Source organism: Homo sapiens, chromosome 12 (genome assembly GCF_000001405.40).
Source record: "Homo sapiens chromosome 12, GRCh38.p14 Primary Assembly".
NCBI classification, from domain to species: Eukaryota; Metazoa; Chordata; class Mammalia; order Primates; family Hominidae; genus Homo; species Homo sapiens.
The window spans coordinates 6851785-6874625 of record NC_000012.12 but is presented as its reverse complement, the minus strand read 5'-3'; the positions used below and the strand labels follow the sequence as shown (position 1 = coordinate 6874625).

General features: G+C 55.2%; 3 protein-coding genes across 21 annotated transcripts, besides 14 other annotated features; 1 reads left to right on the top strand and 2 right to left on the bottom strand.

The window, feature by feature from the left end:
* Positions 914–1363: a silencer, noted in NCBI's record as "silent region_4190". NCBI's record gives its function as "represses an Ori minimal core promoter by ATAC-STARR-seq in GM12878 lymphoblastoid cells {active_cell/tissue: GM12878}" and the evidence as "EXISTENCE:reporter gene assay evidence [ECO:0000049][PMID:35858748]".
* On the top strand, positions 1323–3691 carry SPSB2 (splA/ryanodine receptor domain and SOCS box containing 2). Of its 3 annotated transcripts, none has more exons than NM_032641.4 (3): positions 1323–1380; positions 1629–2388; positions 3307–3691. In NM_032641.4, exons 2-3 carry the CDS (start codon positions 1725–1727, stop codon positions 3432–3434), a joined length of 792 nt encoding a protein of 263 aa, NP_116030.1. In that variant the 5' UTR covers positions 1323–1380; positions 1629–1724; the 3' UTR covers positions 3435–3691. The 3 variants fall into 3 exon arrangements, with proteins under 3 accessions (NP_116030.1, NP_001139788.1, NP_001306599.1); NM_001146316.2 differs by having other exon boundaries at positions 1323–1411; positions 1640–2388; NM_001319670.2 differs by having other exon boundaries at positions 1323–2388.
* Positions 1754–1993: an enhancer, noted in NCBI's record as "active region_5888". NCBI's record gives its function as "activates an Ori minimal core promoter by ATAC-STARR-seq in GM12878 lymphoblastoid cells {active_cell/tissue: GM12878}" and the evidence as "EXISTENCE:reporter gene assay evidence [ECO:0000049][PMID:35858748]".
* Positions 2544–2663: a silencer, noted in NCBI's record as "silent region_4189". NCBI's record gives its function as "represses an Ori minimal core promoter by ATAC-STARR-seq in GM12878 lymphoblastoid cells {active_cell/tissue: GM12878}" and the evidence as "EXISTENCE:reporter gene assay evidence [ECO:0000049][PMID:35858748]".
* Positions 3320–3905: an enhancer, noted in NCBI's record as "H3K4me1 hESC enhancer chr12:6979885-6980470 (GRCh37/hg19 assembly coordinates)". NCBI's record gives its function as "activates a minimal SCP1, AML or CMV promoter by ChIP-STARR-seq in primed H9 embryonic stem cells {active_cell/tissue: H9 hESC(primed)}" and the evidence as "EXISTENCE:reporter gene assay evidence [ECO:0000049][PMID:30033119]".
* Positions 3678–7206, bottom strand: TPI1 (triosephosphate isomerase 1). Of its 3 annotated transcripts, none has more exons than NM_000365.6 (7): positions 6945–7095; positions 5639–5762; positions 5443–5527; positions 5236–5368; positions 4853–4938; positions 4490–4577; positions 3678–4361 (listed from the first exon to the last, which is right to left on the bottom strand). In NM_000365.6, exons 1-7 carry the CDS (start codon positions 7057–7059, stop codon positions 4243–4245), a joined length of 750 nt encoding a protein of 249 aa, NP_000356.1. In that variant the 5' UTR covers positions 7060–7095; the 3' UTR covers positions 3678–4242. The 3 variants fall into 3 exon arrangements, with proteins under 3 accessions (NP_000356.1, NP_001244955.1, NP_001152759.1); NM_001258026.2 differs by lacking the exon at positions 6945–7095 and adding an exon at positions 6117–6521; NM_001159287.1 differs by having other exon boundaries at positions 3680–4361; positions 6945–7206.
* Positions 6489–6928: a silencer, noted in NCBI's record as "silent region_4188". NCBI's record gives its function as "represses an Ori minimal core promoter by ATAC-STARR-seq in GM12878 lymphoblastoid cells {active_cell/tissue: GM12878}" and the evidence as "EXISTENCE:reporter gene assay evidence [ECO:0000049][PMID:35858748]".
* Positions 7199–7248: a silencer, noted in NCBI's record as "silent region_4187". NCBI's record gives its function as "represses an Ori minimal core promoter by ATAC-STARR-seq in GM12878 lymphoblastoid cells {active_cell/tissue: GM12878}" and the evidence as "EXISTENCE:reporter gene assay evidence [ECO:0000049][PMID:35858748]".
* Positions 7518–8179: an enhancer, noted in NCBI's record as "H3K4me1 hESC enhancer chr12:6975611-6976272 (GRCh37/hg19 assembly coordinates)". NCBI's record gives its function as "activates a minimal SCP1, AML or CMV promoter by ChIP-STARR-seq in naive H9 embryonic stem cells {active_cell/tissue: H9 hESC(naive)}" and the evidence as "EXISTENCE:reporter gene assay evidence [ECO:0000049][PMID:30033119]".
* On the bottom strand, positions 7994–22476 carry USP5 (ubiquitin specific peptidase 5). Of its 15 annotated transcripts, none has more exons than NR_168458.1 (20): positions 22336–22476; positions 19100–19225; positions 18805–18997; positions 18476–18609; positions 18176–18321; positions 17735–17919; positions 16903–16997; positions 16009–16202; positions 15085–15156; positions 14388–14475; positions 14135–14260; positions 13520–13673; positions 13009–13183; positions 12068–12156; positions 11318–11440; positions 10653–10796; positions 10431–10576; positions 9751–9904; positions 9378–9462; positions 7994–8642 (listed from the first exon to the last, which is right to left on the bottom strand). NR_168458.1 is itself a non-coding variant. In NM_001382590.1 (20 exons), the coding sequence occupies exons 2-20, from the start codon at positions 19196–19198 to the stop codon at positions 8549–8551; spliced, it is 2370 nt and encodes a 789-aa protein (NP_001369519.1). In that variant the 5' UTR covers positions 19199–19271; positions 22336–22476; the 3' UTR covers positions 7994–8548. The 15 variants fall into 15 exon arrangements, 6 of the variants coding, with proteins under 6 accessions (NP_001369519.1, NP_001092006.1, NP_003472.2 ...); NR_168455.1 differs by having other exon boundaries at positions 11249–11481; positions 18805–18871; NR_168456.1 differs by having other exon boundaries at positions 11318–11481; positions 18805–18871.
* Positions 8180–8842: an enhancer, noted in NCBI's record as "H3K4me1 hESC enhancer chr12:6974948-6975610 (GRCh37/hg19 assembly coordinates)". NCBI's record gives its function as "activates a minimal SCP1, AML or CMV promoter by ChIP-STARR-seq in naive H9 embryonic stem cells {active_cell/tissue: H9 hESC(naive)}" and the evidence as "EXISTENCE:reporter gene assay evidence [ECO:0000049][PMID:30033119]".
* Positions 21485–21534: a silencer, noted in NCBI's record as "silent region_4186". NCBI's record gives its function as "represses an Ori minimal core promoter by ATAC-STARR-seq in GM12878 lymphoblastoid cells {active_cell/tissue: GM12878}" and the evidence as "EXISTENCE:reporter gene assay evidence [ECO:0000049][PMID:35858748]".
* Positions 21815–22454: an enhancer, noted in NCBI's record as "active region_5887". NCBI's record gives its function as "activates an Ori minimal core promoter by ATAC-STARR-seq in GM12878 lymphoblastoid cells {active_cell/tissue: GM12878}" and the evidence as "EXISTENCE:reporter gene assay evidence [ECO:0000049][PMID:35858748]".
* Positions 21815–22838: a biological region, named in NCBI's record as "H3K27ac-H3K4me1 hESC enhancer GRCh37_chr12:6960952-6961912".
* Positions 21878–22838: an enhancer, noted in NCBI's record as "H3K27ac-H3K4me1 hESC enhancer chr12:6960952-6961912 (GRCh37/hg19 assembly coordinates)". NCBI's record gives its function as "activates a minimal SCP1, AML or CMV promoter by ChIP-STARR-seq in primed H9 embryonic stem cells {active_cell/tissue: H9 hESC(primed)}" and the evidence as "EXISTENCE:reporter gene assay evidence [ECO:0000049][PMID:30033119]".
* Positions 22505–22614: a silencer, noted in NCBI's record as "silent region_4185". NCBI's record gives its function as "represses an Ori minimal core promoter by ATAC-STARR-seq in GM12878 lymphoblastoid cells {active_cell/tissue: GM12878}" and the evidence as "EXISTENCE:reporter gene assay evidence [ECO:0000049][PMID:35858748]".
* Positions 22725–22774: an enhancer, noted in NCBI's record as "active region_5886". NCBI's record gives its function as "activates an Ori minimal core promoter by ATAC-STARR-seq in GM12878 lymphoblastoid cells {active_cell/tissue: GM12878}" and the evidence as "EXISTENCE:reporter gene assay evidence [ECO:0000049][PMID:35858748]".

The following is a 22841-nucleotide window of genomic DNA, read 5'->3' as shown; positions in this document are numbered from 1 at the left end:
TTGGGAGACCCTGTCTCTAAAAAAAATTTTTTTTTGGCCGGACGTGGTGGCTCACACCTGTAATCTCAGCACTTTGGGAGGCTAAGGCAGGCAGATCACAAGGTCAGGAGTTCTAGACCAGCCTGGCCAACATGGCAAAACCCTGTGTCTACTAAAAATACAAAAAATAGCTAGGCGTGGTGGCAGGTGCCTGTAATCCCAGCTACTCAGGAGGCTGAGGCAGGAGAATCCCCTGAACCTGGGAGATGGAGGTTACAGAGAGCCGAGATCGTGCCGCTGCACTCCAGCCTGGGCAACAAGAGCAAGACTCTGTCTCGAAAAAAATAAAAATAAAAATAAAAATATTTTTTTAAAAATTAGCTGGGTGTGGTAGCACATGCCTGTAGTCCCAGCTACTTGGGAGGCTGAGGTAGGAGGATCACTTGAGCCCAGGAGGTCAAGGCTGCAGTGGGCTGTGATGGCGCCACTGCACTCTAGCCTTGGTGACAGCAAGACCCTGTCTCAAAAAAAAAAAAAAGAGAAATCGGGCAACTTCCCCAAGATCGCGCAGTTAACTAGTGGCATAGCTTCACTCAAACTCGAAGTCTTAATCAGGACACTCTACCAAATGAGATCAACGGCTCAGTAATGGATTGGCATCCAGTATGAAGACTGGACCAGCAGGGAGAACTATGATGCGTACAGCCTAGAGCCTGAAGCAGATTTCACAGCCTCAGAGGTGGCACAGGCTGACTCACAACCCGGGGCAGAAAGGGACCAGCCCAGAAACAGTGACCCAGAATCACAGGGAAGTAGAAATGGGATTCGGCACAATGAAGCCCCTCCTTGACCCCATGCTCCTTACCCTCAGGGGCGCAGGAGTTAGTCGCTCAGGCGGCTCAAAGGTCTTGACGGTGGAGAACACCATCCCCAGGGATTCCCGACGCGGTGATGCCATCAAAGCGTTAATTCTGAGATGGGCCTGCCCGGGTGCGGACTCTGCCGCAGCAAGAGAAGGGTTAACTGCCCCGGGCCTTCGCCGTGGGGGCGGGGCCTCGGGGAGGGTCACAGCCCGGGACTGAGACCCGAGGTTAACCGCCCGGGGTGGGCTCCACGGGGGCGGGGCATGCTCTCCGCGGCTGCTGCCGGTATAGAGCGGTAACTGCCCAGGAGGGGGCGGGGCCCCACAGGGGCGTGGCCTCGGAGCTGCACGGCCGTGGGCGGCGATGAGAGGGTTAAGCCCCAGAGGGCCCTGGAGGGGCGGGGCCGCGGGACGGGCTCGGCCCAAGGGAGGAGCTGGGGGCGGAAGCGGCCGGCGGTCTGCGCCCTGCGCGCCTCGGCTTCTTTCCGCCCGGCTCCTTCAGAGGCCCGGCGACCTCCAGGGCTGGGAAGTCAACCGAGGTTCGGGGGCAGCGGCGAGGGCTCCGGGCGAGTAAGGGGGATGGTCCATGCTGAGGCCCAAATGGGGCGAACTCGCGAGAGTCTCTGGCGACCTGGATCAGATGGGGCGAGGGCAGATGAAGGGCCCAGGAGCTTTGGGGCAGCGAGGAGGGAGGAGCGGGCCCGTTGGCAAACTTGGGTGAAAGGATGGGGTACCTGGGTGACGAGCCCCCGCCAGGATTCTGCTCTTCACGCCCCTTTTCTCCCAGCTCCCTTCCAGGTCAATCCAAACTGGAGCTCAACTTTCAGAAGAGAAAGACGCCCCAGCAAGCCTCTTTCGGGGAGTCCTCTAGCTCCTCACCTCCATGGGCCAGACAGCTCTGGCAGGGGGCAGCAGCAGCACCCCCACGCCACAGGCCCTGTACCCTGACCTCTCCTGTCCCGAGGGCTTGGAAGAGCTGCTGTCTGCACCCCCTCCTGACCTGGGGGCCCAGCGGCGCCACGGTTGGAACCCCAAAGACTGTTCAGAGAACATCGAGGTCAAGGAAGGAGGGTTGTACTTTGAGCGGCGGCCCGTGGCCCAGAGCACTGATGGGGCCCGGGGTAAGAGGGGCTATTCAAGGGGCCTGCACGCCTGGGAGATCAGCTGGCCCCTAGAGCAGAGGGGCACGCATGCCGTGGTGGGCGTGGCCACGGCCCTCGCCCCGCTGCAGACTGACCACTACGCGGCGCTGCTGGGCAGCAACAGCGAGTCGTGGGGCTGGGACATCGGGCGGGGGAAGCTGTACCATCAGAGCAAGGGGCCCGGAGCCCCCCAGTATCCAGCGGGAACTCAGGGTGAGCAGCTGGAGGTGCCAGAGAGACTGCTGGTGGTTCTGGACATGGAGGAGGGAACTCTGGGCTACGCTATTGGGGGCACCTACCTGGGGCCAGCATTCCGCGGACTGAAGGGCAGGACCCTCTATCCGGCAGTAAGCGCTGTCTGGGGCCAGTGCCAGGTCCGCATCCGCTACCTGGGCGAAAGGAGAGGTGAGGCCTGGGGCAGACGTGGGGAGAACTTTCTGTCCCTGGTGGCAGTGGTTTGGGATGGAAACTCTTCTGACAAGAGCAGAGGGGATGGACCTTCATCCAGCCTGCCTCAACCTCTGTTCAGTGCTGGGAAAGGCTAGGGGTCTTCACAGCTGTTATTTAATTTAACCCAACAGCAATAGAGGTGAAACAGGCTTGAGAAAGCAACTTTCTCAAGTTCTCTTGGCCAGTAAATGGTGAACCTTCAGAATGGAGGGAGGAACTGCAGGGATGAGAGAATTCAGGAGATATCAACCCCTGAGCAAGAGGTGCAAAGCGTTAGGTACTGGGTTTGATGTACAGGTCCAAAAGAAGGATGGGCAGAGCCAGGTACCCAGGCTGTATACCGGATTCCCTGGGCTCTAACCTGTCTCTGTGCCACATACCTACTTCCTTCCTCAGCCACACCTCTGGATGGAGACACTGGGGCCCTGGGCACCAGGGAGGAGAGCAGTGGAGGAGGCAGGGCCTTAGGGTGGGGCAGCAGGGGAGGAGCCTCCCCAGGAACTGACTGGGTCCAGGGCTTGGAGCTGCTCTCTGCAGTTGTGTGGGCTGTAGAGTGGAGGGCCATCCCTCCTCACCTCAGCCCCAGCTCCCAAGCCTCTGGAGTCAAAGCCTGGGCCAGCTCCACCACTGTCAGAGCCACCTTGGCCTGTTGTTTAGAGGGCCTTAGCCAGCTCTTCACCCCCAGCTCTGACTAGGGATGTGTGAAATCTTATCTGGGAGGCAGAACTTCCGGGTATCTCAAATTCCCCTTTCAGCCAGGTGGGCACACTCGAAGCAGGAAAGCAGAAAGGCATCTGAGTAGGACCCCGTAGTTTGAGGACATCTGGCTGGTGGCTGCACCCATACTTACATTCCCCTCCTTCTCTCTCCCAGCGGAGCCACACTCCCTTCTGCACCTGAGCCGCCTGTGTGTGCGCCACAACCTGGGGGATACCCGGCTCGGCCAGGTGTCTGCCCTGCCCTTGCCCCCTGCCATGAAGCGCTACCTGCTCTACCAGTGAGCCCTGTGATACCACAGACTGTGCTGAGGTCTTGCCACCACCCCTCCCCTTGGGGAGGTGGGGAGGCACTGCTGGCCTAGACCAGCTGCTGAAAGCTGGTGAGGCTGAGCCCCTACCCCAACCCAAGCTCTGCGGAAATCAACAGCCCCAGAGCCACTTGGAGGGAGGAAGAAAGGGAGCCGGCGTTCAAGGCTATGACAGTCTGCTACGCAAAACATTTTTTCAAGTAAAAATAGTAAGAGATGTTGTTATAGAAACCTGTTCTTGTTTTTTTTTTTTTCTTGCACAAATGATCATTTATATAGCTGCCTCAAAAAGGAAGATTATCTGGGCAAGTCCAGTGAAGGCAGACAAACCACAAGACCTAGTGCCAGGTTTATTCCCTCACATGGGTGGTTCACATACACAGCACAGAGGCACGGGCACCATGGGAGAGGGCAGCACTCCTGCCTTCTGAGGGGATCTTGGCCTCACGGTGTAAGAAGGGAGAGGATGGTTTCTCTTCTGCCCTCACTAGGGCCTAGGGAACCCAGGAGCAAATCCCACCACGCCTTCCATCTCTCAGCCAAGGAGAAGCCACCTTGGTGACGTTTAGTTCCAACCATTATAGTAAGTGGAGAAGGGATTGGCCTGGTCCCAACCATTACAGGGTGAAGATATAAACAGTAAAGGAAGATACAGTTTGGATGAGGCCACAGGAAGGAGCAGATGACACCATCAGAAGCATATGCAGGGAAAGGGCAGTTACTGGGCTTCTGGGCTGCTTAGTCCCTGGCTTGGCAGGAAGGGTAGGGAAGATGGATGGGGCTCATTGTTTGGCATTGATGATGTCCACGAATTCGGGCTTGAGGGAAGCACCACCCACAAGGAAGCCATCCACATCAGGCTGGCTGGCCAGCTCCTTGCAGGTTGCCCCAGTCACAGAGCCTGGGAAGGGAGCAGAACAAGGGCTTGGTCAAGAATGGGATGAGTCTGCCCCATCCCCACCTCCATGTCCGAGGGCTCAGTCTAGTCCTCAGCCCACTCCACCTCAGCCGGGAACCAAAGCCACTCACCTCCATAAATGATACGGGTGCTCTGAGCCACCGCATCAGAGACGTTGGACTTCAGCCATCCTCGGAGCTTCTCGTGTACTTCCTGGGCCTAGAACAAGAAGCTGGCCTAAGTAAGACCTTTTCTGCCTCTCTAAGAGGAAAAATCACTGGCACCAGTGGACACTTAGTGTGGTTTCTGACTGAGTCAGAGTACCAGGGCTCTGATCCAAGCCAGGCCCTGGACTGGATGCCCTTGGACAAGTCACTGTCTCTGGGTTCAAGGTCTCTGTGTCTTTGAAATAAGGGGTTGCCCCATGTGGGCTGTGTCTGTCCAAACCTATTGAGGCAGGCTGGGATGAGGGCAGGGCTCCTGGGCCCGGTTACCTGTTGGGGTGTTGCAGTCTTGCCAGTACCAATGGCCCACACAGGCTCATAGGCCAGGACGACCTTGCTCCAGTCCTTCACGTTATCTGCAGGGCAGAGATACAGATGGAGGGAAGGGTGAACAAGAAAGAGCTCTCCAGCCAGGTTCTCCGGAGTACGAAGAACGGTGGCCTACTGCCCCCTAGTGGACATTGGGGGATTTCCAGGTGGCATCTACCTTGGGGCTGGAGAAGTCATAGGCCCCAAGCAAAGATTGTCACTCCCCCTCCCCTTTTTCCTTTTCTGGATCAGCATGGGGACCAAGACAGGCTCCAGGGCCTGACCCTACCCTCTGAGTCTCTGTGGCCCTGGATAGGCTCAAAGGTCCCTTTCTCCAGAGATACCTGCGATGACCTTTGTCTGCTCGAAAACAACCTTCTCAGTGATGCCAGCTTCCCTTTCATCTAGCTTCTCCCCAATGCAGGCGATTACTCCGAGTCCCTCTGCCAGAGCATGGGCCACTTTCTGCCCAATCAGCTGTTGAGAAACAGACTTGGTGAGACATCCTTCTTGGAAAAAGACATCCCTTATCTTCTCTCTTGGCTACTAACCTCATCTGACTCCCCAAAGACATGCCTTCTCTCTGAGTGCCCCAGGACCACCCACGTGGCTCCGCAGTCTTTGATCATGCCAGGGCTAAAGGAAGAGATGAAGCCAAGGTTCAGCAGGGAGCCCACCCTGTGGCTTTCCCCTCAACGAGGAAAGTGAGGGAAGGGTCCCACACACCCCTCTCCACCTCGATCTCACCTGATCTCCCCAGTAAAAGCCCCATTAGTCACTTTGTAGCAGTTCTGCGCAGCCACAGCAATCTTGGGATCTAGCTTCTGCCGGGCGAAGTCGATATAGGCAGTAGGGGGAGCACAAACCACCTCTGAGGACAAGATGGTACCACAGGGGGATGAGACTAAAGAAAGCCTTCATTCCCCACAATTCCTAACCAGTGCCCTGGAGCCCCCCAGCCCTCACCCTCTTCTTCTTGGTTCTGCTCTCCCCCTTTTCACCCCAGCAAGATGACCTTTGTCCATTTTCCAGCCCAGGCTGGGTCTGCACTCAACTCGAAGAGCCTTCCAGATACCCCTGAGAGGCCACGGCCCTCACCCTGCCCTCTGCTCTTTTAACAGCTGGGGCTCCAATTTCCTCGAGCTATTCTCGGCATAGGCACCTCACAGACTCAGCATTCTCCAGGGAGCAACCCTGCTTCCCTTCTAAAATAGCCCATCCTCACCTCCCCTTTGCAAGGCAAGGATTTGTAGCAAAAGGAGAGGGGCCAACTCCTGGGGTTTGTATTGAGGCCTCTGGGGAATGAACGAGAAGGGGATGCCTCTTTGGATCAGGCCCGCGGCTCTCCGATTTCGGTGGAGGGAGGAAGGAGGATGGAGGAGAGCATCCTTTGCCCGTGGGTGGCAGAGACCTAACTGACTCAGAGGCCTTGCGCTTTGCTGTTTCCAGGTTGGGGAAAGCGGTAGGATGGCTCCTCACTCCCAAATCGCTCAGCCTGTTTGGCACGGGCTCGGTCCCTTCCGTGGAAGGCGGGAGTCGTTCAGGTTGCCGAAGGGAAGGGGTCAGATCTGGGGCTCAGGGAGCCCGAGCAGCTCGGCGCGGGGACGCGGACGCCGGCGAGGAAGGGGAGGAGTCTGGGGCTACGTGCGGCGGCGCACGGCGCGGGAGGCCAGGGCGCAGGGAGCGGGAAGCCCACGCGGCCCAGCCTCCCCCGGTCTCCCGCAGAGCCTCGGGCTCCGCTCCTAACCCCGTCGCCTGGCGGGCACAGCCCCAGTGCGCGCCCCGGGGCCACCTTCCTCCAGGAGACCCAAAACGTCCTTACCTGCCCCATAGTCCAAGGGGCATCATGTGCTCCGCCCTGCCCCCTCGACGCACCGACGGGGCTGCGGCTGCGAGGCCCCTGCCCGGACCCCAGCGGCCCTCGTCCCACAGCCCTGCATCAGGTCCGCGCGGATACCGGCCTCGGGGCCTCGGGGCCTCGGGAGAGGGCGCTGCCACTCCTGCCCCGGCCCCGGCCCCGGCCCGGCCAGACCCCTCCTCGGCGAGGGCTTACCGGTGTCGGCCGGCACCTTGGCCGCGTTCAGAGTGCCGATGAGCTCCCCCAGACTCTGCTTCCGCCCGTTCATCTTCCAGTTTCCCCCAACGAAGAACTTCCTGGAGGGCGCCATGGCGCTGGAGCCGAGGCGCTGAAGGTCAGTGTCTGCGCGCAGTCGCGGCCACTGCCCACTTATATAGAGCGCCGCGAAGTGGAACTCCGCCTCCTCGCCGTCCTCCGCCATGGCCCGCCCAGTCCCCCGGAGCCCTGCCCCCCGCCCGCCCTCCTGCCGCCGCCCCGGCCGCCGCCCGATGATGCACTGTTCCGACGTTCCCCCTTCTTGTGGCAACGTTCTAGGAGAGTCGGGGGCTCGGTCGCCTCCGCCTCGATTGCGGGGCTTTCGGGACAAGGCGAGACCTGTGAGCTCCGGCGCTCAGGGGAACCCTCGCTTGGCGACTTGAGTCCCCCACGGGGCCAGAAGTGGTTTTCAAGCGGAACTAGCTGGTGGCAACTTGGCCGTAGCCCAGATCGCCCACTGGGGCAGAGAGGGCCCCTCTCCAACTGTGGGATAGACAACCTCCTTCGCCCATCGGAGCAGCTCATGCCCGACTGCTGAGCAGGCACCCTTGTACCCAGGGAGTCTACCTGAGTGAAAACTTGCGGGACAAATGCAGGGTTCACAGCGGGAGGGGCAGCCCACACAGGCATAGGCCGCCAGGATCATCCCAACCCTCGCCCCGGCTGGCAAGGCCTGGCAGGAACTGCAGGGACTGAGTCCCAGCCTGAAGCCAGCTAGCCAGTTAGGGACATTTGGGAAATCCTCCACTCCTGTGTGAATAAAGAGAGGGAAGGGTTCTTCACTCCATCTTTCCTTGGCTTTGTGTCGGCATTTAGTCACTCTACTCCACCTCCCCACCCAACCCCAATTTTCCTAGAGCTCTAGAACCAGTGAAAAGTGGAGACTTGACTTTGGCAGGGAGGCGGCCAGAGTTAGGAGTTTTCTTAAGCGCCCTCCTGCTAACCCCAGGAAGGTAAGCCTCTCCCCCAAGGTATCAAACAGGACACAATTTAGCCGTTGTACTTTTATTCACATCGTGTATTTTGGCATTTTCCAGAGAAGGACAAGGAAGAGACAGGGTGGGGGAAAGACTGAGGCAGGAGGGCAAGTCGGGGGGTCCCTATTTCCCTCACATCCCTCCTTGACCAACCACACAGGGGCAAACAAAGGGGGAGGGGAGGCACAGGTGATCGCTCCACTGGGAGAGGATGCACAAAGCTACACCCACGCGCACAAACGAGACCCCTCCCTCCACACCAGGGGGCTGGGCGGGGCGACACAGAGAAGCAGAGCACTGTGGATTCCGGGGGCAGGGGAAGCAACAAAGTCTCCTTACAGACAGGTGGCCGGCCCCTCCCGTCCCCGTCCTGCTCCATCCCCAGAGTCTATCGCTGCCCCTCTGCTCTGCCCAGCCATTCTCCCACGGCCTCCAGCTTCTTCCCTGCTGCCGGGGACAAAAGGAAAAAGGGTACAGAGCAGAGGGGCTGAAGTCCATCCCTCAGCCCCTCTCCCTCATGCCAGGTGGTCTTCCCCTGCCCTCATTGGTAAGGGGTGAGGCAGGCTCTTAGCTGGCCACTCTCTGGTAGAAGTAGATGTAGCCCAGGTCCTTGGGCGGCTTCTCGGAGGCACACACTTTCTGGTCATTGTAGATCACCCATCTGGGGAAGTGGGGAAAACAGAAAAGGATGAACAAACTGGGCATTCAAAGTGGCATCATGTAGTCTCTCAGACATGGCCCCTGGAAGTGCTCTCCACACTCTCTGCCCATACCCCAAATCCACAGCCCAGCCACCATGTGCCTTAAGGGAGCTTCACAACCTCACAAGGGTCACGGACCCTATTATGTCTTCAGATCCTCCAGTACCTTTACAACCACCCTCCACCCATTCCAGGGAGGCAGGGGGTTGGTAAACTTTTTCTGGCAAGGGCCAGATAGTATTTGAGGTTCTGCAGGCTCTCTCTCTGGTCTCTGACACAACGACTCAACTTTCCTGCCGCAGCGTGAAAACAGGCACAAACAACACATAAACAAGTGTGTCCAGGTTCCAGTGAAAATTTATTTACAAAGGCAGGGGGCCTGGCCAGGCACGGTAGCTCATGCCTGTAATCCTAGCACTTTGGGAGGCCGAGGCAGAAGGATCACTTGAGCTCAGGAGTTCAAGACCAGCCTGGGCAACATAGTGAGATCCCATCTCTATTTAAAAAAAAAGCTGGTGGCCAGATCCAACCCTTGGGCCAATCACTGCTGCAAGACCTTCTGTCACTCTCTGGCACTTTATGTCCCCATCAGGCAGTCCCTTCACCTTCTCCCATAGCTATCCCAAGGACTTCCAAATGGCCCTCCTCATTCCCACCACCATTCTCCATTCAAAACGCATGTGGCCAGCACTCACCTGCCTTCTTTCTTGATGTGGCAGACGTAGTGACCACACATGGTAGAGGTGCCCATGTGACTAATGAAGGCAAAGAGCTGATACTCTAGGAAAGGAGAGAGGGGGTCAGAGAAGGAAACAGAAGAGGAATGCTTGAGTGATGGCCCAAAGATCCAGACAACAGCTCAGACTCAGGACAGGAGTTTCAGGGAATGTGAGGCAGGTACTGGGCCAGAGCCTGTCTCCATGTCAGAGAACCCCACCCTCAGATGCCACGTTGAGGTGGAAAGAAGCCCCTGACTCCTGAGGAGGGCAGAGCTGCCTGAATGAGGGATCTGGTGTAGTAGACTGACCAGATTCCACCAGGCCTGTCCTGCTTCCTGGGGATACTCACTTCCAGGACCATCCCGGACTTTAGGTCCCACTGGCACAGACTCAGAGATGGAGTCGGCAGCTGAGCGGCCCTCTGAGATGTCCATGGCAGCTTCAGCATCCAGGTCGTCAATGTGACTGAAGATCCAGTCCACAGCCCGTTCTAAACTATTGTTCTTGGAGAGGAAGGAAGCATTACTTTTTTTCTTGAGACGGAGTCTTGCTCTGTCGCCCAGGCTGGAGTGCAGTGGCGCGATCTCGGCTCACTGCAAGCTCCGCCTCCCGGGTTCACGCCTTTCTCCTGCCTCAGCCTCCCAAGTAGCTGGGACTACAGACGCCCACCACCACGCTTGGTTAATTTTTTGTATTTTTCGTAGAGACGGGGTTTCACCGTGTTAGCCAGGATGGTCTTGATCTGCTGACCGCGTGATCCGCCCACCTCACCCTCCCAAAGTGCTGGGATTACAGGCGTGAGCCACCGCGCCCGGCCAAACAGAAGCATTACATTTTTAACAAGTTCTGGGGCAAAAAACCCAGCAGTGAACGCAGGCTTCAGCTCCTTCATCGCAGCCACAAAAGAGTGGTGCCCAACCTCGGCCAGACCACACCTGTTGTCTTTGGTCTTGCTCAAGAAGGATGGCCCCTCATTCCCACCCCCTTCTTCCCCACTGGCCCCATGTCCTTAGCTGGGGCAGCCCATACCGTGGCCCGCAGCGCTTTCAAGGCCTGGTCCCGGGAGAAGCCCATGGAGACAATGGTGGTCACACAGTCCTCAGGAGGGGGGTCGGCTGCTGCGCTTGTGGAGCCCGGCCCACTAGAGCCAGGCAGGATGAGGGGGTTTGCAAAATCTGTGGATGTGAAGGGGTTGATGTGTTTGGGGGAGGATGGAGGCCCTGCCCCACCCTGCTCCCCACCCCAGCCTACCTGGATCATCCATGTGTGACATGACCCAGTTCATGGCGGCCTCAGCCCCGCTGTTGCCCGTGTAGTAGACAGCTTTGCGGCAGGCGTCCATAGGGAATCCCATCTCCACCAGCTGGATGATGACTGATTCATCCAGCATGGGCGCTGTAATGGGAATTGTGGGTACACGGACCGACTGATTGGGCCACTGTTTGCTCCTCCTCCCTCCCCCAGGACCCAGCCCTCTTCCAATCACCCATTCCATGCATTTTTCTCCCATGGATTGGCACCTTATCCCAAAACCAAAATGACCACACAATTGTAATGTGGGTCCCTGCCCATTCTCACAGAATGGGCCCTGTTTCTGGAGCATGATACCCCCACCCTACCCAAACCAGGGAGGTAACAAGGGCAGAGAGGCCACTAGCTGGCACTGCTGCCATCCACACCCAGAAGGTGGCTAGGAGTGCGCTGGGGAGGCCCCATGTCAATCAAAGAGGGCAGAGGAAATTTGAAAGGGAGGACAGGAGAAACACAAAGGACAGGGGCAGGGGATGCAAGGCAGAGAGGCCCCCATCAGCACGGGAGAGAGACAGGCAGGAAGAAGAGTCACTAACATGTCGGAGAGGAGAAGTGAGGGGAGCAGAAGGAGTCTTCGTCTTCGTTGCCATAGAAACCAAGGCTACCTTTGGGCTCATCCGGAGTGACCAGGGGTGGGGCAATGTCTGGCAGCTCCTCCTCTCCGGGCTGCAGCCCTGTGCCCCTCAACTGGGAGATGTCGAGCTCCTCTGGCATCTCGATGGACACATCTGTGGGAAAAGGGTCACCTCAGCAGCTCCCGGAGGCCTACCTGGAAAGTGATTCGGGAACCTCAATCCCCTGCCCCCTATGTCAGAACTGCTCTGTAAAGAGGAGCTGCTAAAAGCACGGCACCCATCTTAGGGGTCCCAGTATAAGACAAATAATACTAAGCCTGGGAGTTGGGAGGCCAGGATGCTGGTCCTAGATCTACCATAAATAATCTATGGACAGGGCAGGGGGCCTAGAACTTGTGAGACAGAATGATTTTATATTCCTGTGAGTCTCAACTTCCTTATCTAGAAAATGAAGGTACATCACGAGTTCTCAAATGACAGTCAGGGACCTGTAAGACTCACGAGAATTAATTGTTTCAAGATTATCAAAATGAAAACATTTTACCAATTATTTTAAAAAACTACAAAAATCACTTTTGGTTGTAAATCATACCTATAACAATCAAAGAAGTCTTTTAATATTTTTAGTTAGTGCTTTCAAACTAGATAAATTTTGAAACATTGAAGGTGATTTTTTTTCCTCTTTCAGAGGAAACTTTGAGAAACACTAGTTTATATGTGTTAAAGCCCCTTCTTTTTCTAGCATTTTCTGTGTAACCTCCCTCATTCCAGCAGCCATACCCAGTTTCTTGGGCACCCAGTCTAAGCCGAAGGTGAACTTCTTGATCTGGATGACCAGGTAGTCAGGGAATGAGGCAAATCGTGTGGTCCTAGGGAAGAGAGACTGTGCTGGTACCCAGACAATCCCCAGGGTTTTCCTCTCCTGAAACTCCCACCTGGGGTTCAGCCCCTCATGGGTAGAAGTCCCAATAACCCAGAAGATCCTCCATATTCTTCTCTTCCCCTGGGCAGGTGTCTGATGCCTGTCCTCGGCCAACGAGGAGCAGTAGAGGCCAGAAGGAAGGCTGTCAACAAAAAAAAGAAAAAGAAAAAAGCCCAGGCATGGTGGCTCATATCTGTAATTCCAGCACTTTGGGAGGCCAAGGCAGGACGACTGCTTGAGCCCAGGAGTTAAGAGACCAACCTGGGCAACATAGCAAGACCCACACGTAGGGAAAAAAACATAGCAAGACCCACACATAGAAAAAAAAAAAAAACCCACACAGAGAGGAAGAGCTGTTTCACTGGCAGGAGCAGCAAAGGGCTGGGTAGCTGACTCCCCGAGACCAAAGCCCTTTTTCAGGTCTCACACCCATGCCAGGTGCCAATGGCTAGGCTCAAAGTGTGGCTATTTGCTGGAAATCCAAATTCTGCCCACAGCTGATCCTAAGTGCCTGTGCTCAGCCATGACTGAGGGGCAATGAAGAGAGGCTACACTACAAAGAGACCCTGTGCCACAGAAGAGGGAGTGGTTGGGGCAGGACAAGGTGACAGATAGAGTCAGTACCCGTGTCCCCCCTACCAGGGCCCCTTGGTTCCATCAGGGCCAGATTACCAGCCCAACTGATTCAACCCTGAGGTTCCAACCACAAAGGGATGAAAGAACAGGGAAGAGACAGAAGTATCCTCTGGGATAGCTCTGCCATAGACCCACAGCCTCAGGCCCCGACCAGAGGACTTACTTGACAGCTACTGACTTGGCCTGCAGGGCCGTGCTCCAGAAGTCATCGACCTGCTCAGGGGCCCCGTAGGCCTCCAGGCAAGAGCTGAAGGGCACCTGGGCCCGAACCAGTTCTGGCAGTGCCATCTTCTCCTCTTCGGCTTGCCGCTTCTTCTCCTCGTACTCCAGAAGCTCCTCTGGTGACAGAATGGGTTGGTGGATCCTTCGGAGGGTGCTGCTTCTTTGCCTCCTTAGCCTCTCCCTACTGGCTCTGTGTCCGTATTTCAGTTCCTCTACCCTTCCAAAGCACCCCTGACACATGTCCAATATATCTCGCCTGTTTCCATGCAGCTCTGCTAACAAGCTGAGTGTCCACTGGACGAGGTTAATCTACCTACTCCTGGTGGCCCAGACTGGAACCTTGGCTGGTGAAGCAGGGCATTCCCTGGGCTGTGCTCCCATGAGGTGCCCAAGCATTCCTCCTAGACCTTAGCCTCCCACCGTGCCACGGCCTTGCTGATGGAGCAGCCTACCTTTGTTAAGGGCTGCATCCATGGGCACAGGCAGCTGCATGATGTAGTCAACTCGCTGGGTGTACTTCACCTTCTCTGTGGCCAGGCACTTGATCTTTTCCTCCACCAAGAAGCGGAACACTTCATTAGGATTTTCAGAGCTCCGGCAATTCCTCTATGGGAAAGAGGCAGGGTAGGGAGGTCTGGGCAGCCAGGGAACAGAATGGGGCCTGAAAGGTTCATGGGAGAGTCAGGGAGAGAAGGCAGACTACCACTCGGAACTCAGGGACACAAGAGCAGAGCAGAAACCTTCCCTAATTCACCAACCCCTCCCCATTTCTGGCCCCATCCCTGCACTGAGGGACTGTGTTAGAACACGCTTGTATTTTTCTTTATAAGCAGCAAGTATTCTCTTATCATTGTCTTTGGGCATAATCTGAATTGGGCTTCAAGCCCATCAAGGGTAGGGATCATCACCTTCACTGTCCTCCTCAGGTGCAAGCACTGTTCACAGGGACACAGACTGTTGGGGTTCAGGGATGGGACTGGGTTGGGGCTGATAGAGGGAGAAATGGGCAGGAAGGAGAGCGAGTAAATTGCAGGAAGATGGGGGTGTGCCATCTTGCCAGCCCTTACCTCCACCATGTTGATAAGGTGAAGGAAGAACTCCTGGGCATCCTGCTGCCGGTTGGTGGAGAATTCAGGGTGGCCCTTGCCGATGAGGGCCTTGAACATCCGAGGGGCAATGCCATCTTGAACTTCCTGGGAAGAGTCAGGGCAGGGACTCAGCTGGGGCTCAGTGGCCATCCAGGGGCCTTCTTTAGACATCTCCCAGACCTCAGCTTCCCCACAATCCCAGGGCCTGAAAGGGACAGGGTCCTAGACGCACCTTCTGTTCTGGCACCCGCTCCCCATCGCCCGACTCCGGTACTGGCTTGGAATACTCCCCGGAGAGAAGGCCATGGCCCAGCTTGGCCCTGCATTAATATCCAAGAAAACATTTCACTTCAGTCAACTAACGACCCTGTGTGTCCCCAGCTCAACCCCCTGCTCGTGGCTCTCCCTAGCTAACTCTCAACAACGTGAAAAACCTTAGATTCTACAGGAACCCAGCTCAAGACAGACAACACGTCCAGAAGACAGTCACCCGAATGCTCCTAATAGGCCAGTGGTGGCCGTGCACGGTGGCTCACGCCTGTAATCCCAGCACTTTGGGAGGCCGAGGTGGGCAGACCACGAGGTCAGGAGATCGAGACCATCCTGGCCAACATGATGAAACCCCGTCTCTACTAAAAATACAAAAAAAATTTAGCTGGGCGTGGTGGCATGTGCCTGTAGTCCTAGCTACTCAGGAGACTGAGGCAGGAGAATCACTTGAACCCAGGAGGCAGAGGTTGTAGTGAGCCGAGATCGCGCCACTGCACTCCAGCCTGGCAACAGAACAAGACTCCGTCTCAAAAAACAAAACAAAACAAAACAAAAAAAGGCCAGGGGTTAAAGTGCTGTGCCCCCCAGGCGGTCAGGGAGGAGGAAGGTATACGGCCATGACTGTCAACAGCTTTCCTACATAGGACCTGGTTACATACACCTGGGTGCTGAAATCCTGGGTAGGGTCCGTCGGGGCATTCTGGAAGATCTTCTCCAGCTTATCCACATACCTAAAAGTCAAGGGAAGGACAGTTGGAGGGGCTCTGGCCTGAGCGCCGAGGAAAAGGGAAGGAAGCAAACATTTACTAACTCTGTGAACGGGCTCCCCTCAAGAGTGGGGAGTTGCTGTGGGTGAACCTTGGAGTCGCTTCTCTCCAGCAACCTGCCTGTTCTCCCCTTCTCAGCTATGTCCAATGTGCAAGCACGCTCGGCGGCAGAGGAGCCGGGGAGGGGGAAGGTAGCCTGGGATTAGGATAAGTGCAGTTCACGTTCTATTGGACAGAACCTGTTGACATGTTCTGAGCATTCACATTCTAATTGTTCCCCAAATTCGAAAGTAAACTCATTTCTGCTGAGAACCTGCCTTTATTCTTAGTGTGCCAAGCCCCCCTCCTCCCCAAGTGCTACATGTCCATGTTAGGTGCTCATCTGATGTCACTGCCCTAAAATAAAGACCACCTGCTAACCCTTGAGTCTGTCAGAAGGCCACAGAGCCCTGGGACTTGGCACTCTGCACTATCAGTGGGGTTTGTGTGTTGGGGTGCTGGTGGTGCAGCTCCCTAACTTGCTCCCCTCACAGCATGTCAGCCAGAGTGTGACAGGAATTATTCTTTTTTTTTTTTAAGAGAAGACAGGGTCTCGCTATGTTGCCCAGGCTGGTCTCAACCTCCTGGGCTCAAGCAATTCTCCCATCTTGGCCTCCCGAAGTACTGGGATTACGGGTGTGGGCCAACACACCCAGCCGATAGGAACTACTCTAAGACTAGAATCAAACACAGAGGTGCTGAGGGAAGCTGAAGGAGGAGTATGCCCAGAGGGTGCTGACCAGGAGGGGGCCTGGGGAAGGAGAGGGCACTACTCACTTCCTCTGGAAGTCAGGGATGCTGAAGAGCACCTGGACCACAGAGTTGAGGTAGCAGCTGTTACCCAGGTTCCGGATGCCTGTGTAGCCAGGCCCAAACAGGGGCTTGAGTGGCACACCTGACTCCTGGATCAGCTCCCATTCACCAATCCGCTGGTTCATGTCTATCTCCAACTCAGTCATCGTCTTGTCTGTCTGTGTGAGAAGGGGCACTTCAGACTGAGTGAGAAACTCAACCCTGTAGTTTTTACCTCGATCTCTCACTGAGTCTAGGATGATACTCAACTGTGGCCTAGAATTTGTGGAATTACAGGCTCAAACATGGGAGGTATGTTGAGTATCGTCCAGTTCAAGTTCTGGAAGGCCACACATAATTGTCCCAGAGGCCCGTTAGTCATCAGGGCCTCTGCTTGAATGAGGAATAAAATTTCCTTCTACCTGAAATGTTTTTCCCATCCTTAAGTTACCCCTAACCTCCTTCACATTGTCAGTTAAGCATCGCTTCCTCAGGGAAATGTCCCTGATCCCTAAACTAGGCCAGGCCACCCTGCTGTCAATTACTGTAGTACCCTCCGCCTCTCTTTCACAGTGCCCACCAGTTTGCAACTATTCACTTATTTATCTGGGAATGTGACTAATGTCTGCCTTTTCTTCTAGAGTAGAACTCTTGTAAGCAAAAACCACATCTGTCTTATTCACACAGCCTCTAGCACATAGTAGGTACTCAGTACTATTCACTGAATAAATGATTTTAGATATTTAAAAGAAGCCTGTGTATCTTGGGGATGGGGTTAACTAGAAGATTTCTCCAAAACCCTACCTCAGCCTCAGGCAAAGAGGAAGGGCCCTCACAGGGGCAGGAAGTAGAAGAATCTGAAGTTGAAGGGGGTCTCACCTTCTGCATCTTCAGCATGTCGATGCCGAAGTGGGACAGGTGCTCAGCCAGGCTGGGGTCCAGGACCATGTCATCCTCATCATATGAGTACACGTCTAGAGCAGGAGGCAGGAAGAGAATCAGGGGAAGTGGCTCAGGACTAGCCAGGCCACCATCCCATCCCTTGCACAGAAGGGACTTGAGGGGACAGAAGGAGAGCCAGTAAGGTCCACCCTCTTGGTTCCCTTGAATATGAGTAATATGAGTGCGGTCATGGCCCTTCTGGGGCTGACGGTCAGGGAAGACAGATGAAACCGGGTGAGGGTTGGAATTACTTGTGATTCTGATTCTACCTGTATAGGATAAGGTAAGACAGGCTTGGTAGGAAAGGGATGAGGATTTGAGTGGGGAGTAATCAAAAATTTAGTCTCATCTGCAGTATTTTCCTTTTTTGAGACAGGGTCTCTGTAGCCCAGGCTGGAGTCCAGTGGTGCAATCATAGCTCACTGCAGCCTCAACCTCCCGGGTGCTCAAACAATCCTCCTGCCTCAGCCTCCTGAGTAGGTGAGACTACAGGCAGGAGCTACCACACCCAGCCAATTTTTCTTTTTTTTTCTTTTTTGGAGAGATGAGGTCTCACTATGTTGCCCAGGCTGGTCTCGAACTCCTAGGCTCAAGCAATTCTCCTGCCTTGGCCTCCCAAAGTGTTGGGATTGCAAACATGAGCCACCGCACCTGACTACTTTCCTTTCTTATCAAGATAATGCATTCATGTATTATACATGTCACACGAAATTACTAACAAATGAAATATATTTAAGCATGAGAGTGGCTGGAGGAGGGGAGGCTGTACCAGCTCCATCAGGGGTGATGGTGCCCAGCTTGACAGCTAACGGGTAGCCTGTCTCTCGGTAGTGCTCCACAGCGTGGTTGTTGCCCCCACTGCCATCGAAGTAGCGTCGCCCACAGAGGATGGAGCCATCAGTCAGGTTGAGCCACAGGTTCTCTCTCATGTCACACTTGGAGCACTTCCAGCCACTAACCCACAGAGAAGAGAATCAGCAGAAATGTGGGTCGGGGATTTGAGGGAGTGGCAGAGAGAGAGGGCTCTGCAGGCCCCCCGCCAATCCAAGGTCTCTCTCTCTTCTCCTCTGGCCATCCCCATGTCGTGTTCATTTCCAAGCTTCCCTTCCTGTCCTGCTCCCTACCCTCTCTCCCACCAGATCCCCCAGAAAAGTGGGCTCCTTGTCCTTGCTCTGGGGGTGGTGCCCGAGGCAGAGGGGCCAGGCCTCACCAGGGAGGGATTCGAGCAGGGTTGTCCAACTGCTTGAGGCTGAAGGCATGCTTAGACACCTGCCGTACTTCCCCATCCCATGCCTGCACCTCCTGCTTGCGGGAGGCTGAGTCGGCCGACAGTAGGGCCTCCACTGCACTGGTCACCTGGGGGAAGCAGAGGGTCAGAGGCAATACCCAACCCCCTGCCCCACATGCCCCTCTTCCCCTTGGCCTTCAGCTTTGTCAGTGCTTGCCTAAGACACCACTACCCTGGCCCATCTTGCTCTAGAATCTTGGGTAGCATAGGGGGCAGTCATACCCGATCTCTGACAATGTCAGGCAGTCCCCCCAGTCCATCCCGGGCAATCTCCAGGTAATCTGGCAAAATGACAATCTTCACATCCTCGTCTAATTCAAACTTCTCCTCGCTAAGGTCAAATCCGCCTTCAACACCTGGAAGGATAGGGAAGAAGAGGGAGAGTAGAGCAATGACAACAGGTCAATGTCCCTCCTCCGAGCCAGCACCTCACTTGCCCCATCCAGAGTTCTAGGGCCATCAATCAGGCCCACTCTTTGGGGCTTTCCTGGTGCTGCTGAGAGCCAGAAAGACCAGCTCAGGGAGAAGAATAGGACTGCAGCGGTGCTCACCAATAGCCAGCCGCGTGGGCTTCTTCCGGGGTGGGTCTCCAGTGCCTGTAGCAGGGTCCTCCTCTTTCTGTAAAGAAGCAGGAAGGGCTGGATCAGCAATGAGCACGAGCGAAGGAACAAGTCGGGAGGAGGGACGGAAGGAGGTAGTGCTTCATCTCAGAACGGAATAAAGCTAAAAAACATCTGTGCCAAGCTTTAATGACACAAAAGTAGGTGAAAAAAAGAAACTGAGTCCAATAGGAGGTCAGAATGGAACAGACAATGTACCCAGGCCTTGCCCCAGCCCTGCTCCTACCGGGCGCCGGGTCCGCCGGAGGTGCAAGTAGACTCGCTGGCCGGTCTTATTGAAATGTCTCTCCACATACTGTTTCCCAAAGCCCAGAAACGTGTTCATACAGATGTAGAGGCCCCCCTCAGACTCCTGTGGGACAAGAGGTAAGGGTGAAAACACGAGGATGTTATGAAGCCTGGTCAGGTGAGGAAACCAAAACCTGGAGTCAGAAACTGCTGGGTTCCAGAAGAAATGTTCTGTTCTCTAACACTGTGTGGCCCTTGGCAAGTTATTTAGCCTTTTAGGACCTGGGACATAGCTAAGATTCTCCCCATTTCCTCCCATGACTTTGATAACAACCAACAAGGACATCAGGGGGCTGAGGAACACCAGCTCATCGTCGCCATTCAACAGCAACACCAGTCACCATTTATCTTTCCACCTGCTCCTTCTTGGGCTTTGGAGCTCTTTAATCAATCACAGAGGACTTCCTTCACCTCTATCCTGGGGCTAACAGATCCAGAAAGTAAATGGGGATCAAATACTGTGGACTTCCAGTGCTGGAGATTACATTCAAAGGGAAAAAGGGTCCCTTCGTGGGAGAGGAAAGACTTTCATGTGAGACACTGAACCCAAACCAGGGGACACCTAAGACAAACCCTATCTCATCTCCATGATTCAGAAAACCTTCCAGACCAGAGGAGCAGAGATTCCAGCACTTGAACAGTATATCTGACCCGAGTGTGCCAGCAAGCAAAATTACCTTTCCTTTAAAAAAAAAAAAAATTTTATTTTAGAGACACTGCACTCTGTCACCCAGGCTGGAGTGCAGTGGCACGATCATAGCTCACTGCAGCCTCAACCTCCCCGGCTCAAGTGATCCTTCTGCCTCAGTCTCCAAAGGAGCTGGGACTACAGGCACATGCCACCATGCCTAGATTTTTTTTTTTTTTTTTTTTAGAGGTGGGGTCTCGCTATGTTGCTTAGGCTGGTCTTTAACTTGTGTGGCCTCAAACAATCCTTCCACCTTGGCCTCCCAAAGTGCTGGGATTACAGCGGTGAGACTAAACATCCAGCGAAAAAGACCTTTCTTTTACCACATTCTACCAGGTAGTCGAACCCTGGTCCACACTGTGAGTCTTCTCCCTCCTCTCCTGCTGAAGTGTGGCTTCCAGGGGAACAATGACTTGTTAGGGACTCACAGCTAAACATGCACCCAGTCTGGCAGGGTCATGAAGTCCAGCATTCCATAGCCACCACCCTCTCTCCTCTGCCTCCCCTCCGACCAATAAGATCCCTGCTGAAGTCCCAACAAATCACCAATCTCAAAGCCATCCCGTTCTGACAACAATCTCGCAACACTTGCTGAGATAGCTAGAACACACATAACCCGTGAAAACAGGGACAGACGGGTGTCCACCCAGAAACACAGCTGAGAAGGGAGGATGGGCTTCCCCCAAAGCTGACCAAGTTTTCCAGTGCCTTTGTAAAGAGTGATGGAGAAGGTGGAGGAGGAAATTGGAGACAATAAGGGTCTTCCCTCAGATCCAAGGCTTTGAGCAACAACAGACATCCTCTTCCAGGAATAAAAGTCTCAGTGGCCTTGAACATTTCTCTGCTGTGATATGAAAAATAGTGCACTGTCTAAGGTAGTTCTTGGTCCCATAGATTGCTCTGTACCACTTCCTAGGAACAGTGTGTACTGCAAGTTCATGAACAAATAGAGCATTTCTCACCGGGGAGGTCAACTAAGCTCTTTCTACCATGAGCCCAATTTGAAGGTAACCAAATATGCTGGAAGTTGGTTAGCAAAGAACTAGGGCACACTGAAAATCTCTTGACTTGGGGTGAAAAAGGGAAAGTTTCAGAAGATTACAAAAACCCTTTTTGGATTATTCAAAGCAGTTACTAAGGAGAGAGACAGGAGTGAATAAAAGTGTAAAGAGGGACCCACTGACTTCTACCACCTGCTGGTAATTTAAGAAAAACCTTTCCCTCCTGGGAAGAATGTGGGAGCTCTGAAGTGATTAAACTCCTCTGTTGGAAATTAAAGATGCTGATTTCACCAAGGATTGGGAACCCCGGAGCTCTGCTCCGCGCAGTGCTCTTTTACCTCTGCCAAAGCCAGACTTCAGAGAAGCAGCACATTGTCTGAGGCCCAGATCAAAGCCTAGCAAACCAAGCAAACCACAAATCACAGTGATGATCCTGAACTGGGCCTCACATCATGCTGTTCTACTCAGTACTGGTGATGCAGTAATGAAGGCTTTCCACTCTGACTTGCAGTTTTCAGGCCATGAGCTGGTTCTGGCAGAATACACTGGGCAGGGCACAGCAGCTTGAGGGGAGGGGTGGTGAGGGGGGCGGATCCCAACCAAGCTGCTGCCTTCTCAGTTCAGGCCCCAAAGGGCCTCCGCTTGAGGGTGACATAGGGAAGGCAGAACTGCAGGAAGGGAGGTACCAGGTGGAGCCTGCAAAACGTGAAGCATGGTGTGGGAGGTGGCTTTGTGTAACTAGCCAAGAGTGGGAGCGGGATGGGAAAGAGGCCTTAGCATCCTCCGAGAAAGAAACCACCTCTCTAGGAATACTTTAAAAGGGGTTATCTCAGCTGTCTGTGATAGGCTGGGGGGCGGGGGGAAGGGTGGGGGCTGCGGCCATTGCTCACTTCAAAGGAGAAACGACTAGAGCTTTCCTCTCCTCTTTCCTCCCCTCCCCGCCCCCTGTCTGTTTTAACCACGGGGTGGAGGCTCTCTGCCTTTCTCAGAATCGGACTTCTTGAGAGTCCACTCCCAGACTATTAACCGCCTAGGAACTGCGGTCCCCACCCCCCAACTCCAACCCCGGCCGAGAACAGTGGGGAGTCGTCCCCATCACTCCTACACGAGACTACAAAACCCGGAGAGCCGTGCGCGGCAGACAAGGCCGACTGCCAGGTTTTCTCAAGGGTCCACTTGGGGGATGTAGTCCGACGGTCGGGCTGCGCCCCTAGCTTAGAACGGCAACGAAGGCAGTGAGTGACTACAATGCCCACAGTGCTCCACGAAGCGGGGAGCCGGAGAGGTGAGCGCGGCGGCTTCCGGGGACGGTAGTCACACGACAGCCGCAGTTAATGAAAGGCAACGGCAGAGTGGAGCGTGGGAGACTACAAGTCCCATGGTGCATCGCAGGGAGGCGGTAGCCCAAGCCTTGCAGGCCCCAGCGGAATGACCAGGGCGATGGAAGGAAGTCGTGCTCGTTGCGGGCGTGGGGAATGGGCTTACCGGCGTGTCGAAGGAGAAGGCGCACTCGTCTTTGTGGACCCGGTCTCCAGCCTTAGGGACCCGGATCGTCGGTAATACTGACAGCAGCGCCTCCTCACTCAGCTCCGCCATGACACCGGCAGCAGCTTCTCCACACACGGCGGCTCCCACCGTTCCCAGTCCCCTCCCCTGCCCCTCCCGTCCAATGAGCGCCACTCGTTAGGGGCATGCGCCGCGGAGACGACGCGCGAGAATGGCAGTTGGACGGAGCCTGCCTGCCGGTGCTCCGCCCCTGCCCCGCGCTTGACTGACGCCAATGAGAAGCGCTCCTAAGGCAATTGATGGTTGAAAGAACCAATCCCACTCCTCCAGGGCGGGAGCGCACGTAGAGCAGCTAGGTGGGCTTCGGGGTTGCAGCTGCTGCGGCTCCGCAGCTGCTCCGGCTCCGGGACCCTTAGAGTCCATTCGCGTGCCTTCTATTGAAGAGCAGGAACTGACGGTTGTTTTAGGCCTCTCAATTCCAGAAA

Coding starts and splice junctions, on each gene's coding strand:
- USP5 (NM_001098536.2), bottom strand. CDS start 22,446: ATGGCGGAGCTGAGTGAGGAGGCGCTGCTGTCAGTATTACCGACGATC. Junction 18,872..19,099: donor TCCGGCGGACCCGGCGCCCG/GTAGGAGCAGGG, acceptor GCTTCTTTACAG/AAAGAGGAGGACCCTGCTAC. Junction 16,203..16,902: donor ACATGCTGAAGATGCAGAAG/GTGAGACCCCCT, acceptor CTTCTCACACAG/ACAGACAAGACGATGACTGA.
- SPSB2 (NM_032641.4), top strand. CDS start 1,725: ATGGGCCAGACAGCTCTGGCAGGGGGCAGCAGCAGCACCCCCACGCCA. Junction 2,389..3,306: donor CTACCTGGGCGAAAGGAGAG/GTGAGGCCTGGG, acceptor TCTCTCTCCCAG/CGGAGCCACACTCCCTTCTG.
- TPI1 (NM_001159287.1), bottom strand. CDS start 7,170: ATGGCGGAGGACGGCGAGGAGGCGGAGTTCCACTTCGCGGCGCTCTAT. Junction 5,763..6,944: donor CAAGGTGCCGGCCGACACCG/GTAAGCCCTCGC, acceptor TCTTGTCCTCAG/AGGTGGTTTGTGCTCCCCCT. Junction 4,578..4,852: donor AGACTGCAACACCCCAACAG/GTAACCGGGCCC, acceptor TTCTTGTTCTAG/GCCCAGGAAGTACACGAGAA.